Source organism: Homo sapiens, chromosome 4 (genome assembly GCF_000001405.40).
Source record: "Homo sapiens chromosome 4, GRCh38.p14 Primary Assembly".
NCBI classification, from domain to species: Eukaryota; Metazoa; Chordata; class Mammalia; order Primates; family Hominidae; genus Homo; species Homo sapiens.
In genome coordinates this window covers 94,369,066-94,386,696 of record NC_000004.12, presented here as the reverse complement: position 1 = coordinate 94,386,696, position 17,631 = coordinate 94,369,066, and the positions used below count along the sequence as shown (strand labels likewise).

Genomic DNA, 17,631 nt, shown 5'->3' with positions numbered 1-17,631 from the left:
AGACCATCATGGATGCCAAGCTTTAGGTAACTTTCATAGTGGAAGGTAAGTCCGTCCCCTTCTTAATCAATATAGAGGCTACCCACTCCACATTACCTTCTTTTCAAGGGCCTGTTTCCCTTGCCTCCATAACTGTTGTGGGTATTGACGGCCAGGCTTCTAAACCTCTTAAAACTCCCCAACTCTGGTGCCAACTTACACAATACTCTTTTAAGCACTCCTTTTAGTTATCCCCACCTGCCCAGTTCCCTTATTAGGCTGAGACACTTTAACTAAATTATCTGCTACCCTGACTATTCCTGGGCTACAGCCACACCTCATTGCCACCTTTTCTCCCAGTTCAAAGCCTCCTTCACATCCTCCCCTTTTATCTCCCCACTTAACCCACAAGTATGAGACATCTCTACTCCTTCCCTGGCAACCAATCACATGCCCATTACCATCCCATTAAAACCTAATCACCCTTACCCCGCTCAACGCCAATATCCCATCCCACAACATGCTTTAAAAGGATTAAAGCCTGTTATCACTCGCCTGCTACAGCATGGGCTTCTAAAACCTATAAACTCTCCTTACCATTCCCCCATTTTACCTGTCCTAAAACCAGACAAGACTTACAGGTTAGTTCAGGATCTGCGCCTTATCAACCAAATTGTTTTGCCTATCCACCCCGTGGTGCCAAACCCATATACTCTCCTATCCTCAATACCTCCTTCTACAACCCATTATTCTGTTCTAGATCTCAAACATGCTTTCTTTACTATTCCTTTGCACCCTTCATCCCAGCCTCCCTTGGCTTTCACTTAGACCGACCCTGTCACCCATCAGGCTCAGCAAATTACCTGGGCTGTACTGCCACAAGGCTTCACAGACAGCCCCCTTTACTTCAGTCAAGCCCAAATTTCATCCTCATCTGTTACCTATCTTGGCATAATTCTCATAAAAACACACCTGCTGTCCCTGCTGATTGTGTCCAACTAATCTCCCAAACCTCAATCCCTTACAAAACAACAACTCCTTTCCTTCTAGGCATGGTTAGTGCGGTCAGAATTCTTACACAAGAGCTGGGACCGCACCCTGTAGCCCTTCTGTCCAAACAACTTGACCTTACTGTTTTAGCCTAGCCCTCATGTCTGCATGCAGCAGCTGCCGCTGCTTTCATACTTTTAGAGGCCCTAAAAATCACAAACTATGCTCAACTCACTCTCTACATTTCTCATAACTTCCAAAATCTATTTTCTTCCTCATACCTGACACATATACTTTCTGCTCCCCGTCTCCTTCAGCTATACTCACTCTTTGTTGAGTCTCCCACAATTACCATTTTTCCCAGCACGGACTTCAATCCGGCCTCCCACATTATTCTGGATACCACACTTGACCCTTATGACTGTATCTCTCTGATCCACCTGACATTCACCCCATTTCCCCATATTTCCTTCTTTCCTGTTCCTCACCCTGATCACATTTAGTTTATTGATGGCAGTTCCACCAGACCTGATCGCCACTCACCAGCGAAGGCAGGCTATGCTACAGCATCTTCCACATCTATCATTGAGGCTACCACTCTGCCCCACTCCACTACCTCTCAGCAAGCCGAATTAGTTGCCTTAACTCAAGCCCTCACTCTTGCAAAAGGACTACACGTCAATATTTATACTGACTCTAAATATGCCTTTTATATTCTGCACCACCAAGCTATTATATAGGCTGAAAGAGATTCCCTCACCACGCAAGGGTCCTCCATCATTAATGCCTCTTTAATAAAAACTCTGCTCATGGCCGCTTTACTTCCAAAGAAAGCTAGAGTCATTCACTACAAAGGCCATCAAAAGGCGTCAGATCCCATTGCTCTAGGCAACGCTTATGCTGATAAGGTGGCTAGACAAGCAGCTAGCTTTCCAACTTCTGTCCCTCACGGCCAGTTTTTCTCCTTCACACGAGTCACTCCCACCTACTCCCCCGCTGAAACTTCCATCTATCAATCTCTTCCCACACAAGGCAAATGGTTCTTAGACCAAGGAAAATATCTCCTTCCAGCCTCACATGCCCATTCTATTCTGTCGTCATTTCATAACCTCTTCCATGTAGGTTATGAGCCGCTAGCCCGTCTCTTAGAACCTCTCATTTCCTTTCCATCCTGGAAATCTATCCTCAAGGAAATCACTTCTCAGTGTTCCATCTGCTATTCTACTACCCCTCAGGGATTATTCAGGCCTCCTCCCTTTCCTACACATCAAGCTCGGGGATTTGCCCCTGCCCAGGACTGGGAAATTGACTTTACTCACATGCCCCGAGTCAGAAAACTAAAATACCTCTTAGTCTGGGTAGACACTTTCACTGGATGGGTAGAGGCCTTTCCTACAGGGTCTAAGAAGGCCATCGCAGTCATTTCTTCCCTTCTGTCAGACGTAATTCCTCGGTTTGGCCTTCCCACCTCTATACAGTCTGATAGCAGACCGGCCTTTATTAGTCAAATCAGCCAAGCATTTTTTCAGGCTCTTGGTATTCAGTGAAACATTTATATCCCTTACGGACCTCAGTCTTCAGGAAAGGTAGAACAGACTAATGGTCTTTTAAAAACACACCTCACCAAGCTCAGTCACCAACTTAAAAAGGACTGGAAATACTTTTACCACTTTCCCTTCTCAGAATTCAGGCCTGTCCTTGGAATGCTACAGGGTACAGCCCATTTGAGCTCCTGTATGGATGCTCCTTTTTATTAAGCCCCAGTCTCATTCCAGACCCCAGACCAACTTAGACTGTGCCCCCAAAAACTTGTCATCCCTACTATCTTCTGTCTAGACAGACTTCTATTCACCATTCGCAACTACTCATACATGCCCTGCTCTTGTTTACACTGCCGGTTTACACTGTTACTCCAAGTCATGACAGTTGATATCTCCTGGTGCTATCCCCAAACTGCCACTCTTAACTCTTAAAGTAAATCAATAATCTTTGCTGGCAGGACTATGCTGAATCTTGTTAGGCACTCTCTAATTAGATGTCCTAGGTCCTCCCAATTCTTAGTCCTCTAATACCCATTTTTCTCCTTTTATTTGGACCTTGTATCTTCTGTTTAGTTTCTCAATTCATCCAAAACCGTATCCAGGCCATCACCAATCATTCTATACGACAAATGTTTCTTCTAACAGCCCCACAATATCACCCCTTACCACAAGACCTCCCTTCAGCTTAATCTCTCCCACTCTAGGTTCCCACGCCACCCCTAATCCCGCTTGAAGCAGCCCTGAGAAACATCGCCCATTCTCTCTCTCCATACCACCCCCCCAAAATTTTCACCTCCCCAACACTTCAACACTATTTTGTAGCACTATTTCATTTTATTTGTCTTAGTAATATAAGAAGGCAGGAATGTCAGGCCTCTGAGCCCAAGCCAAGCCATCGCATCCCCAGTGACTTGCACCTATATGCCCAGATGGCCTGAAGTAACTGAAGAATCACAAAAGAAGTGAAAATGGCCTGTTCCTGCCTTAACTGATGACACTGTCTTGTGAAATTCCTTCTCCTGGCTCATCCTGGCTCAAAAGCTCCCCTACTGAGAACCTTTCAATCCCCACTCCTGCCCGCCAGAGAACAAATCCCCTTTGACTGTAATTTTCCTTTACCCAAATCCTATAAAATGGCCCCACCCTTATCTCTCTTCATTGACTCTCTTTTCGGACTCAGCCCGCCTGCACCCAGGTGAAATAAACAGGCTTGTTGCTCACACAAAGCCTGTTTAGTGGTCTCTTCACACTGACGTGCATGAATTATGCTAAATCTACTCTGCCTGTGCTCTATAAATGAAACAACAAAGCCTGGATGACAGCACATCTGTTTACAGCATAGTTTATGGAATATTTTAAGCCCATTGTTGAGACGTATTACTTAGAAAAAAAAGATACTTTTCAAAATATTACTGCTCATTGACAATGTACCTGGTCACTCAAGAGCTCTCATGGAGATATACAAGGAGTTGAATATTGTTCTCATTCCTCCAACACAACATGCATTCTGCAGTCCGAGATCAAGGAGGAATTTCAACTTTCAAGTGTTATTAAATAAGAAAAACATTTTATAAGCTATAGCTGTCATAGACAGCAATTCCTCTGATGGATCTGGGCATAGTAAATTGAAAACCTTCTGGAAAAGAGTCACGATTCTAGATCCCATTAAGAATATTCACAATTCATCGGAAATGGTCAAAATATCAACATGAACAGGAGTTTGGAAGAGGTTGATGCCAACCTTCACAGATGACTTTGAGGGGTTAAATGCTTCAGTGGAGGAAGTAAGTGCCTATGTGATGGAAATAGCAAGAGAACTAGAATTAGAAGTGGAGCCTGACGATGTAACTGAGTTGTTGCAATCTCGTAATTAAACTTGAATGGATGACAAGTTGCTTCTTATGGATCAGCAAAGTGGTTTCTTGAGATGAAAACTACTGCTGGTGAAGATGCTGTGAACATTGTTGAAATGACAATAAAGGATTTAGAATATGACATAAACTTAGTTGAGAAAGCAGTAGCAGGATTTGAGAGGATGACTTCAATTTTGAAAGAAGTTCTACTGTGGGTAAAACGCTATTCATCAGTATCACATACTACAGAGAAATCTTTTGTGAAAGGAAGAGTCAATGGATGCAGCAAACTTCATTATTGTCTTATTTTTCAGTAATTGCCACAGCCACTCCAACCTTCAGTGACCACCACCCTGATCAGTCAGCAGCCATCAACATGGAGGCAAGACCCTCCACCAACAAAAACTAACTGAAGATTTAGATGATCGTTAGCATTTTTTAAAAATAAGGTATTTTTAAAATTAAGGTGTGTACATTTCTTTAGACATAAGGCTATTGCACAGTAAATAAACTACCAGATACTCAGTGAGTTACTTTAAATATACATTCAAGTGTACGGAAAGTTTATGAAATATTCTAAATCCTTTATTGTCATTTCAACAATGTTCACAGCATCTTCACCAGGAGTAGATTCCATCTCAAGAAACCACTTTGCTAACCCATAAGAAGCAACTCCTCATCCATTCAAGTTTTGTCATGAGATTGCAGCAATTCAATCCCATCTTCAGGCTCCACTTTTAATTCTAGTTCTCTGTGTATATTGTATTCTCATTATGTGTAAACATAATTTTTTACATGCACTGGGAAATAAAAAATTAATGTGACTTGCTTTATTGCAATATTTGTTTTATTATGGTGGTCTGGAACTGAATCCACAGTATCTCCAAGATGCCTTGTGCTGTTTTACACTGATTTTCTGTGGCTAGGTTAGAAAGGCTTTGAATATCACTTATATGTCCAACAAATACACATATCATAAAATATTAATAAAACAAATATCTGTATATGTCACCCAGCCCAACAAATAGAAGATTATCTAACTCTTGAATGTGTGAATGTGTGAACTTATCTTCTTTCTTTCTCTTTCTTTCTCTTTCTTTCTTTTTCTTTCTTTCTTTCTTTCTTCTTCTTCTTCTTTTTTTTTTTTTCACAGATTTTCACTCTTGTTGCCCAGGCTGGAGTGCAATGGCATGATCTCGGCTCACTGCAACCTCCGCCTCCTAGGTTCAAGTGATTCTGCTGCCTCAGCCTCCCAAGTAGCTGTGATTACAGGTACCCCCCACACGCCCGGCTAATTTTTTGTATTTTTAGTAGAGATGGGGTTTCACCATGTTAAGCAGGCTGGTCTTGAATGCCTGACCTCAGGTGATCCACCCACCTTAGCTTCCCAAAGTGCTGGGATTACAGGCGTGGGCCACCGCGCCTGGCCAATGAACATATTTTCTTTTTTCTCAGAGGTAATATTGTTCTGCTTTTCGTGTTTATAATTTTTGTCACCTTCTTTTTTTGTCATTATAGTTTTGCTATACATATATCATATATGTAATACACATATATATGAAATCCCTAAATATATATTGTTTTAGTGTAAGTGATACCACCCTATGTGCCTTCTTTTGTCACTTCATCAACAACATTTATATATGTGAGTTTCTTCCATTTTGAGACATGTATTTCATTGCATAAACCATAATGTATTATTTAGTCATCACATTAGATAAATAAAGAACTCAGACCTTCTGAAGTGCAACCAAGGGTAAAGGGGACCATAAAAGGGATATTGGAGAAACAAGTTACAAATTTTGGCCTTTGATCAGCTACAGAATGAGTATTGTAATGGTTATATTTCATCTTGCCTTGTGTATGTCATATGTGTATGTAACTGATTACATTTTTACTTCATTTTTTCCTTTCCCCTGTTATTTTATATGGCATAGTTGGTAGTAGCTAAGATTATAAATTAGTCTATATGGTACTGGATATCAGCATAACATTTCAAATAAAACTAGTGAAGGAATGAACTGTGAAGAATTGCAAAAGGTATGAGATTTACCCTACTTGCAAGTTAACAGGTTAACCTGCCATCGTTTCATAGATGCTGATGGAAGACACAAGACTCCTGGGTCAGAGATGAAAGACAGTTTATTACTTATCAATTGCAACAGCCAGAGAATGAGCATTTTTGGTGTCAGTTCCCTGAGACACAATTCCCAGGCAACTCAAACAGGGCCGGATGGCATCTGTTCACGCAGTGAGTTGTGTTATAGGAAAGGAGCCCTAAGCTTAGTGAATCTTAATCTTTTATAGTGAACAGAAAGCATGCCTACTCTTTGCTCTGGAAGAGACACTATTTATATCATCCAAGGTTGTTCACTTATATACGTGTTCTCAAAAAGAATTAATATCAGAGATTAGAGACATTGTGTTAAATTCTGACTCCTACCATTGGGATATGACAAGAGAGTTTAGGTACCTCTGAGGAAGTATTACTAATGTGTACTTTGGTGCCAGGTGTAGTCATATCCACTAAGAACTTCTTTCCTCCTTAAGACATCAAAATACTTTAATAACGTCATTTATAGTGAAAAATTGCACCCCAGAAACTCAAGTTGCATTTGGTTGTTATGTCTCTTTGGTATTTTTTAATCTGAAACTACTCCCAATCCCTTTTTTACTTTTATGACCTTGATACTTTTGAATATTATGGCCATTTATTTTGTAGAACATACTTCATTGAAAAAAAGTGTTTCCTTATGATTAAATTCAGGTATCTTTGGCAGGATTAGCACAGAGTGATGCTGTGGTCTTCTGATTGGAAGGGAAGGGAAAGGAAGAGCAAGGGAGGAGAAAGAGGCAAGCATTCATTTTGTAAATTCTGATGGGTAGAGAATGCATTCCCTGAGACAAGGAGTTCTGGGAAAACTTCTATCCATAGAGTTTCTGAGATCTAGTTCTGACTTCTCTCATGACTGTGTGACCTTAGGCAAATCACTGATTTGGAAAGTATTTTATAAAATGGCAACTTATTAAGTTCTCAAGGTCATTAATAAAGTAATAGGTATGGAAAGTTCTTATAGCCAACATTAAACATGACGTTTTTGCATAAGCAAATAAGTCCCTGATTAGTGTCATAGATTATATAAAAACTCACTCATAAAAACTGTAACTACTTTGGTCAATTCTGATTACAAAAAAACCCAGTAACAACTGTAGCCAATATATATTGCCTTCTTAGAAAATTTAGAATTGAACATAAAATGTTTATTATTTTTTTCAGTCTACATATGTGTGAGCAATGAGCTTCATACTTACTTACCTTGTCTGATTTACTCAGATAAGATGAGCAGAGGTACAGAGCTAAATTCTTATACTTAGTGACATAAGATATCTTTTATCTTCTCTGCTTTCAAGAGAAAAATAAAGGCTTAAATACATGCAAAGTGAGGATGAGACACTACGGTTCTTATTGCTGGGAGTCAGTCTCAAGCCTAGCTGTTATTGGCAGTTGAAATATTTTCACCCTATGAAAATATACTGATCCAGGTGTCCTAGAAATAGTACTCTAGCTATAGGATGCTAAAAGAAAACTGAGGCAAAAACTGCAGCTCCCATAACATCTTTTGAGTGAGGAATAAGGCAATATTTAATTATGTCTAAAAATCCTACAAAGCTGTATTACTTTTAGAGACCAGGAAAAATGAGCCACATATATTTTAAAATGAACTATGGGTATTGAAGAAAAATGTACGGAAGTGAGTAAAATTCTCAACCACTAAGACTTTATTTCTCAAAAATAAATAAATAAACAACACAAAAACACAACCACCACCATGGAAATCTATTTGGGTGGAAATATCACATCTGATCATACTTATTGACTCATAAAGACAAGATTTGGAGTTATAGCCTATTTGAGTTATAGCCCTTTGTTACTCTGCAGCTCTATAGTGAGCTCATTGCCAGCAGATGGTAAAGCACTTTATGTTCTTAAGAGATAAACGGCGAAGGAGATTCTACATTGCCTCTCAAGAATTTGTTCAGTATATTACAACCCTTGCTGTCAGGAAACTATTCTTCATATTTAACTTAAATCCCAGAAGCCAAAGTTTAGATCCGTTTCCTTTGGTTTAGTCCTCAAAGGAGAGGTGGAGAACAGCTGGGAACCATCTGCATATCTCTTATAAATTAGATGGCTGAGGTCATCCCACAGTGTTCTCTTTTACTGGATAATGATCCCATTCATTTAGCCTGTCTCCCTATCACCTATTTTCAAACTCTTAATCATTTTAATTCACACCTGAAAATTATATGTTTTTCATGTTTCTCATAAATGGCGTACAAGACACTTCGATATTTGTACCAGAGTTGAGAATAATTTCTTTTCTCTGCTACATATATTATATCCACCTTTAAATAATATGGTGTATTTTCTAACATATCATTATCTGTATCCTTCATGCTGTTTTCTTTATAGCTAAGTCACACATTCTTCAACTTAAATATGTGCATTTTCTTCTTCTTCTGTATTTGTGTCACTTTAGGATCATAAATCTTATCGCTAAATTGAATTAAACTGAATTCTATTTTTTCTGACTAAGCCAAATATCCATTGCAGAGTGCAAATATCTTATTCTTCTATTTGAAATTACCTATGATTTTAATTTATATGCTCCACATTACATTCATGTGATTATCAAATACAATATGAAAAAAACAGCTTATTAAACATAGATCCTAGAAAATATTTGGCTTCCACGTCAATGTTACCTTTGATGACTGCTTCTTTTTCCTAGGAAAATATTTCCGCTGAGCAATAACATTAGCTTAGGCCAATCTTTAGGGACAACACACATACAGTCTGTGGACAGTGTTGATTTGCATTGTAGCTGCACTGAGTTTGTTCCTGTAGCATCATTTGCTTTGCCATTGTAGACAGATCAGAAATGGCTCACTGTGAGCTTGTGTCACTTGGCTTTAGTGTGTGCTAGCTTGCTCCACAACATAGTTTGGTAGGTGTATCTCACTCCTTCTTTTGCATGCCTCCAAACCATGGCCATGAGCTATCACCACCAAAAAATTTTCCTATCACCACAAAAAGCGATATGTGCAGAAAATTTGTTTATAGTCTTGACCAGAAACTGACTGAAAGAAGGGGCTACCACAAACATACTAAACTGTATTTTTTCTGGGGTCATGATTTTCATTCCTGTAGTGATCCTAATTCAAGGTAAGATAAACTATATCTATTCTAACCAGTTCTGTCATTCTGGTCTCCAAAAAAGTTAGGTTTGTCTCACAGGATGCTATTCTTCTCAGAGCCACGCTGTGTCTTATTTTATTGTTCCTAAGGTGTTCTCCAGTTGATTTTCTAATGATTAAATTTAGCTATTTGGAGGGAAGCTTTCCTTCTTAAAAAGAGGTAGCGCATTGGCTCTTGACTGACAAAATTTATAGTTAATGAAAAATACTTAATAAGGATTGGCATTTAAAAAGCTAAGGCAATAAAGTAAATTCTTTTTTTTTTTTCTTTTTTTTTTTTGAGACAGGTTCTCTCACTCTGTCACCCAGGCTGGAGTACAGTGGCACAATCTTGGCTCACCACAGCCTCGACCTCACAGGCTCAAGTGATCCTCCCACCTCAGTCCCCTGAGTAGCTGGGACTACAGGTGCCTGCCACCACACCTGGCTAATTTTTGTATTTTTTACAGAAACCAGGTTATACCATGTTGCCCAGGCTGGTCTCAAACTCCTGGACTCAAGTGATCCGCTCACCTCGCCCTCCCAAAGTGCTGGGATTACAGGCATGAGCCACCATGCTCAGCCTAATAAATCAATTCTTGATTAAAAATGCAAATATATATATACGTACATATATTTATATAACCTCATAGTATAAAACTCCCCAATGTAGTTCTCCATTCTCTTCCAAAAGCTGACACACAGAAAATGTTCTATTTTAAGTTGGTCATGAATTGATGATAGTTCCTCATTGCTCTGAATAAAAGAATAGTCTGCATCTTTGAGTGTTTATTCAGAAATACATTTCAAAAAAATGACTTAAAATAGTTTCCAATTTGAATATTGTTAAATTAAAAAAAATCAAACCCAAAATTTGCTGTTAGAAGATTTTCATTTAGACATGTCTCACTTGAACTTATAGTTCCCTTATGAAATTGGAAATCATTCCTAGTAGCGGTTTTCAAAATTATTTGCTTGCCTATTCTCTAAAGGATTTTTCATTCACTTATTTAACAAATATTTCCTATGCATCCTCTATAGACAGGTGCTATTCTACATTCTTGGAATACATCAGTAAACAAAATAAAACCAAGATCCAGCCTTCAAAAAGCTTACAGTCTAGTGAGAGGAAACAGATAATAAGCATAATAATTAAATTAAATAGTGTATTAGAAGGTGATATGTGCTATGGCAAAAGGAAAAAGTAGAATAGGAAAAAGGAAGTCAGGAATGCAAAGGCAGTGGGAGAGGTTTAGGTGGTTTGTAGTATTAATGTATTAATAAGACCTGAGCAATGCCTTAAAAGAGGGGAGGGGATGAGGCAAGTGGGAGAAGACTATTCCAGATAAAGGGAACTGCCAATGCAAAGGTCCTAATGTGGAAGCTCACCTCGCATGTTCAAGGGTGCCAATGTGTCTGCAGTGTGGTAAGGGATGGGAGAGCAGAAGAGGAGGTCAGAGAGGTATTAGGAGTCCAGATAATGAAGGGCCCTGAGCGCCACTGTGAAGACTTTGGTTTTAACTCTGAGCGGAATGGAGGAGGGGGCCCTCTAGGGTTTTAAACAGATAAATAACATGATCTGAACTACATTTTGAAAGGATCATTCTGGTTGCTTTGAGAATACAGTATGGATGCAAGTGTGGAACTAGGGAGACCTCTAAAGAGCTTATTGAATAATTCAAGTGAGAAATGACAATATCTCAGAAGAGACTGATGAGCAGTGGTCTGATTATCAATTTTTTTGAAGGTGGGTCACATGATTTCTAGATGCATTTGATGTGCAACATGAGAGAAAGGATGAAGGATGACTAAGGGCTTTTATAAATGTGTGTGTGTATGTGTGTGTGTGTGTGTGTATAAAATAAAATACATAATAAGCCTGAAGTTCAGGAGAGTGGACTGGGCTAGAAATATACATTTGAGAGTCATTCGCATATGGACTATGTTATTTAAGGTGATGAGATTGGACACGATCACAAATGGATTGGCTGTAGAGAAGATATGAAGGACTGAGCCATGTGACAGGTCATCATATTCAGGTTGGATTGAAAAGGAAGAAAAAAATAAGGACCTGAAAAAGAGAGACCAGTGAGGGAGAAAGAAAACAAAGAGTTTAGTCAAATGGAAAATCTCTATATTAAGGAGGAAAGATTAATTGACCAAATTAAATCCCCTAAGACAAAATTGATCATTGGGTTTAGTAACTGTGATGTGATGAGTGAAAACCTAATTTTGTAGCACATAATGAGTTAAAGAGAATGGGAGAAGAGGGCTGGGCATGGTGGTGCATGCCTGTAATCCCAGCACTTTGGGAGGCCAAGGCGGGTGGATCATTTCAGGTCAGGAGTTCACCTGGCCAACATAGCGAAACCCCGTCTCTACTAAAAATACAAAAATTTGCTGGGTGTGGTGGTGTGTACCTGTAATCCCAGCTACTCGGGAGGCTGAGGCAGGAGAATTGCTAGAACCCGGGAGACAGAGGTTGCAGTGAGCTGAGATTGCACCATTGCACTCCAGCCTGGGTGACAGAGTGAGACTCTGTCTAAAAAAAAAAAAAAAAAAAAAAAAAAAGAGGAATTAGGGAAAGCAAGTATAGATGATTCTTTTGAGGAATCTTGTTAGAAATGAGAACAAAAAGTGATTGTAGTTTTCTGAAGAAGTGAGGTTAAAAGGATATTCCTAAGGAAAAATGACAGCATGTTTTGATACTCATAGGAAATAATTGGTAGAGGGTGAACACTGATGATGCAGAAAAGAGTGGGAATGCTATTCTCAGTCCTTTAAAAGTTTTTAAAGAGATGGGGTCTTCTTCTGTCACCCAGGCTGGAGTGCAGTGATGTGATCATAGCTCACTCTTCCCAGTTCCTGAGTAGAGAAAGGTTGGGACTGGTACCAAGATGGAGAAATTGGATTTTGATCAGAGTATAATAGTTATCTTTACTAACAGGAGGGAATGGAAGATATGGTTACATTTCTTTGTGGGTGAGTACCTGTGGTGGTGAGAGACTCTGGAGGTGTTGCAGTTATTGTACATGACAAGGCTTAATAAAATATAATCGATAATCCTGAAAGTTGATGGCTGAGGTAGGATGAAGAAAAAGATCACTGGAGAAGAGGAGTTCAAAAAACTGAATTTGCTGACTGGATAAAATAAGGTGCTGTGGTGACATTTCATTTTGTATACATTTCTGACATTCCGTTTGCTTTGTTTTGATTGCATTTTTTGTTTGTTTGTTTGAGACAGGATCTCACTCTGTTGCCTAGGCTAAGGTGCAGTGGTGCGATTTCAGCTTACTGCAACCTCCACCTCTCAGGCTCAAGTGATCCTCCTGCCTCAGCCTTCTGAGTAGCTGGGACTACAGTCGTGCGCCACCACACCTAGCTAATTTTTATAGAGACAAGATTTCACCACGTTGCCCAGGCTGGTCTCAAACTCCTGGTCTCAAATGATCTGCCTGTGTCGGCCTCCCAAAATGTTGAGATTACAGATGTGAACCACTGTGCTTGGATGTTTTTATTGCTTTCTCTCTCACATGAAACATATTTTTCTTGACCATAATTAGGGGAGAGAAAAGAAATTATCATTAAACAAAAACAGTCATCCCTCTTGCTGCTCCATTCCAACACGGGCCAAAACACCCCATTTCTAACACTATGCAAAGAAACATGTGTAATAGAGGGAAATATATAAAGTTCTACTGTTGATTTATGGTAACTTACTTAAATGAGGCTTCACGGACAGCAATAATTTTGAACTTCTTCTATTTTGGCACTCCCAGAGATTTTTACACCCTGGCATAATGTACATATTAAATTCAGTATGGCTGGGCAGTTCACCTCACTTTTATATAGTGAAAGGGAGGGTGGGAGAGGAAAATTGGCATGACTCCTTGAACACAGTCATATTCTCAGGCAGATCAGTTTCAAGGAAGTGAACATTTAAAAGTTGAGAAAAGAAACTTGATTCCCTTAAAACTTTCCATGTTCACATCCCCCATGAGAAGTCTTCACGCGCCCTAGTGTGGAGACTACTGATAAAGACTTGAAAATTTAACACAATCTGGTTCATTAACATCCTATATGGAAATAAAACCTATCATGGCTCAAAATATGCAAGATGAAAGCTTAGTTCAATTAAGGTAGAGGGCACATTGAAGAAAAAGCAGTTTAGAACTCTCCAGAAAGGAAGGAACATTCTTTTTCTAAACGAAGAACTGTATTACCTTTTAGAGAACATTTCCATTTGGTGCCCATTCTTACAGTTTATGACACCGTATGGCACTTGACTACTGGAACTGTAAATCTAGGGATGGCAATAAACCCTCCCACTGGAGTAGGATAGGCCCAAGTTCCATCTGTAGCAGGTGATGAGACAGATTAAGTCTTGCAGGAAAGCCTGGTAACTAAGGGTTTCAATAGTCTTCAAACACAATTCAAGCAAACACCAACAAATGCATTAGTACAAACTGAGGCATCTGGATATTCTAGTAGGTTGGTGGAGCCAAGGACAGGGTTTGAAGCAAGGTTATTTATTATTTGAACCGTGCAGACAATTGTCATCAGAGAAGTCTATCTGAGAGTAGCAGGGCCTCCAGTCAATAAAAACAAGAACCTGTAACTAAGCACAGTACATACCTCTGCAGCTATTAACAAGATATATTGGCAGTAGAAGGAAAGGATGACAACTGTCATTGATAAATGGGAAACATCTAGTGAAGACCATTTGTTTCCATTGAAATAGAGATTTATTTACCTCCCAGGACACCTCTGTTCTCAGCCAGACCAACTCCTCCTCCGGTTGTGTTTTAGTAATGGGGCTGATACACATTTGTCTTAGTCTGTTCCTGCTGCTATAATAAAATGCCTTAGACTGGGTAATTTATAAATAATAGAAATTATTTATAATAATAAAGCTTGGAACCTGGGAAGTCCAAGATCAACGTGCCAGCAGATTTGGTGTCTGGTAAGGGCTCGCTGTCTGCTTACAGCATGGTACCTCTCACTGTGTTCTTACATGGTGAAAGAGATGGAAGGGTCAGGTGGCTCTCTGAAGCCTCTTTATAAGGGCAATAATTTCATTCATTGTGATTTAATCACTTTCCAAAAGGCTTCATCTCTTAATACCACACAAATAGGGATTGTTTCAATGTGGATTTTAAAGGGACATATACATTCAAACCATAGCTACTTGATATCAAACCAATATTCTACTTGAAAGTAACTGATGGGGAACAGATAGTAGCAAGAGCTACCATGAGTTCAGCAACACTTTGATATTTTACTACTTTTAAGAATATCTCCAGAAATCATAGCATTATTAATATCTATATTTGCAAATAATTTTATTTATTCTGAATAAAGGTAGCATTTAATGTGCATTATAGGCTTTTTACTTAGTTTTAAAACCCCTTATAGTCAGGTGGGCTAGAGATTGAAAGTCACTATTCTAATCCAGTTCCTTCCCAACTTCTTGTATTATCTTGCATCAAGGAAGTCCTATTCCTCACTGGTCACTCTTGAAGTATGTCCTCTATATTCATGGTTCCAAAACTGGAGTTCCTGGGAGGATTCCAGGGAAACCATCTCTATATATTTTGAAATGTGGTAGTGAACACATGGGCTTCTTACAAACTGGTAATTCCCAAAGCTGTGTGCAAATTTTCCTAACTGAAGTTGCTGTTTCAGGAAAGAGACAATATGAAATTTATGAAAATATAATCTTTTTGAAGTGTTTAAAGACTTGTGAATTAGAATGTTTTGTCAAGAGTTCCAAAGAAAATTATACATTACTCTGATGCTGGGACACCTTAAAAAGTCAGAATATAAATTGGTTTGAGTGATATGATATATAAAAATAGGCATTTCTTCAGCTTAAGCTATAGTCCCACAAAAATGTTTTCCTTTATAAGAAAGAACAAAAGTTATAAAGTACGGAGGAGAAAAATGATTACCAGAATTTTCTTGTCTTAAATCAAATCACCACCAGAGAGCTATAAAAGTGTCTTTTGTGCTTTCCCAAGCATTAATAAGAATGTTTATGATTGGAAAAATTCATTTCCAAATATTTTTATGTATTTACTTTGCCATATGTTTGAAACTAGGCTTCTAACTGTCTCCTTGGATACATCAGTGAGTTTACAACAGTGATTATTTCCAAAGGAATCTTGGAGAAATACAAGAAAAATAACAACAAATGAAACAATACATGTGTGGTTTTCAAATGTGGACAGGTTTAATATTAAGTGAAGTGTTTGGTTTACTTTCCCTTTTGTAAAACCTTAGGAACAATTTTAACCGTAAAAGTTAACTAGAGATCACCTAATGGTATGTATTGGAATTAAGTTAGCATTCCGACGTATATTAGACAGCCTAAAAAGTCTTTAAGCTCAATTTACGAATAGCCCTTACACAGGAAAAATTGCCAGTGCTGAGCACAGAGATTCTTATTTCCTTCCAGTTGCTGATCTTGAGACCTCACTTCCTTTTCTTCCTCTATCCCCGTTCCTACCCTTATGCTAGCTCAGATTCCTCACACCCATTTCCCTAGTACTACTTCAGTGGAGAGTGTGTGGGAAGAGATGGCTGAGGGCAAGGAAGGAAGGGAAGGTGACCCTCTGAAAGCTCTGCTTGTCCTTTCCATTCCACTACTGGGCTCATCTTATCTGCAGGGTCTCAGTACTAGTGTACTATCTCCTGCCTCATTCAGAGCCTCCAGCCTATCCGACTGCATCACTTCCACTCCAGCTCCAATGGTGAAATGCTCAGGATTGCTTTTCTTCTGGAAAAAGAAATGTCTGAGGAACAATTTTGAATAGATGCTCTTACTTTAATCCATTAAGAACAGTACCTAAAAAGCCAACATTATCACTAAAGTGGTCCTTCCTTCCTTCCTTTTGCACAAATCCACTTTCATTTATTGAGTTTTCATTAGTTTAAATCCTTGAGGGGTGCAGCATCACTCGGACTCTGTGTCCAATAGCTTTAGCGGTAAGGTTGCTTTGGAATTTGGCATGAACCATGCCACTGTTTCCGTGGGCCAGAGTTACCTTTCCCCAGATTACTCTGGTTTTGTTCGGTTTGCCATCAGGAGTCACTGTGTTGTTCTTTGCTTTGTATACATAAACACATCTCTTGCTCAAATAGAATTCTGCTTCATCTCGGGAATAAACACCTTCAATTTTAAGAAGAGCTGTGTGCTCCCTTTGGTTCCAGAGACCCCGCTTATAGACCGCAAAATGGCTTGGACAACAGCCTTCCAGATATATTTCCTTTTAGAAGTCCTATTCCCAGCAGGCCTCCATAGGATCCAAGATGGCGGGAGAGAAAAGTGGTCTTGTATTTTCTTACAGTGTATAAGTTAAGGAAGATAAATAGGAGGCAGAGGAGGGAGTCTTCCTTATCAAAACGGAGGGCATGACTGGTAAAATTAGAGATGTAGATAGGTTAAAGTGATCACTTCACATAAAATAAGGAATGGTTAAATTTATTAGTGGATTCTCTCTTCCTTCCTCCCTCTCTTCCTTTCTTTCATTTTTCTTTCTTTCCTTTCTTTTATTGTCTTAACAAATATTTACAGAGATCTACTATATACTAGGCACTGTGCTGTGTTCTAGGTTTACAAGATTTAAAGGAAATAATTATGCTGCATTCGTCAGCATATTAAAATTTTCAGCAGCTCAACATAATAGTGGTTTATTTCTTGCTTATGTCAAAGTCTTATTAGGTGTTTTGGATATGCTGATTCAGAGCTTCTGGTCTCCTAGAAGTCCACCCTTGGATACTTCGCACTTAGCAGGCTCATAAGTAAAAAGAGCACTTGAGGAAACGATAGCATGTGATGTTTTGTGGCCAGGCCTGGATGTGGAGTGCATGATTTCTACCATTCCACTAACAAGAACCCAGTTGTGTAGCTCTACCACAAGTGCAAGGGAGGCTGAGGAATGTAATCATCTCATGTGACCAGGAAGAGAAAATGAAATTAGTGAATATCTAGCCAGTCTCTGCTACATATGCCCTTGTGAAATTTAAAC

The 17,631-nt window shown here is 39.1% G+C and overlaps 1 pseudogene, besides 2 other annotated features; it reads right to left on the bottom strand.

The window, feature by feature from the left end:
• Positions 1,597 to 2,098: an enhancer, noted in NCBI's record as "NANOG hESC enhancer chr4:95305750-95306251 (GRCh37/hg19 assembly coordinates)". NCBI's record gives its function as "activates a minimal SCP1, AML or CMV promoter by ChIP-STARR-seq in primed H9 embryonic stem cells {active_cell/tissue: H9 hESC(primed)}" and the evidence as "EXISTENCE:reporter gene assay evidence [ECO:0000049][PMID:30033119]".
• Positions 3,030 to 3,883: an enhancer, noted in NCBI's record as "OCT4-NANOG-H3K27ac hESC enhancer chr4:95303965-95304818 (GRCh37/hg19 assembly coordinates)". NCBI's record gives its function as "activates a minimal SCP1, AML or CMV promoter by ChIP-STARR-seq in primed H9 embryonic stem cells {active_cell/tissue: H9 hESC(primed)}" and the evidence as "EXISTENCE:reporter gene assay evidence [ECO:0000049][PMID:30033119]".
• On the bottom strand, positions 16,497 to 16,926 carry RPL35AP11 (ribosomal protein L35a pseudogene 11; annotated as a pseudogene).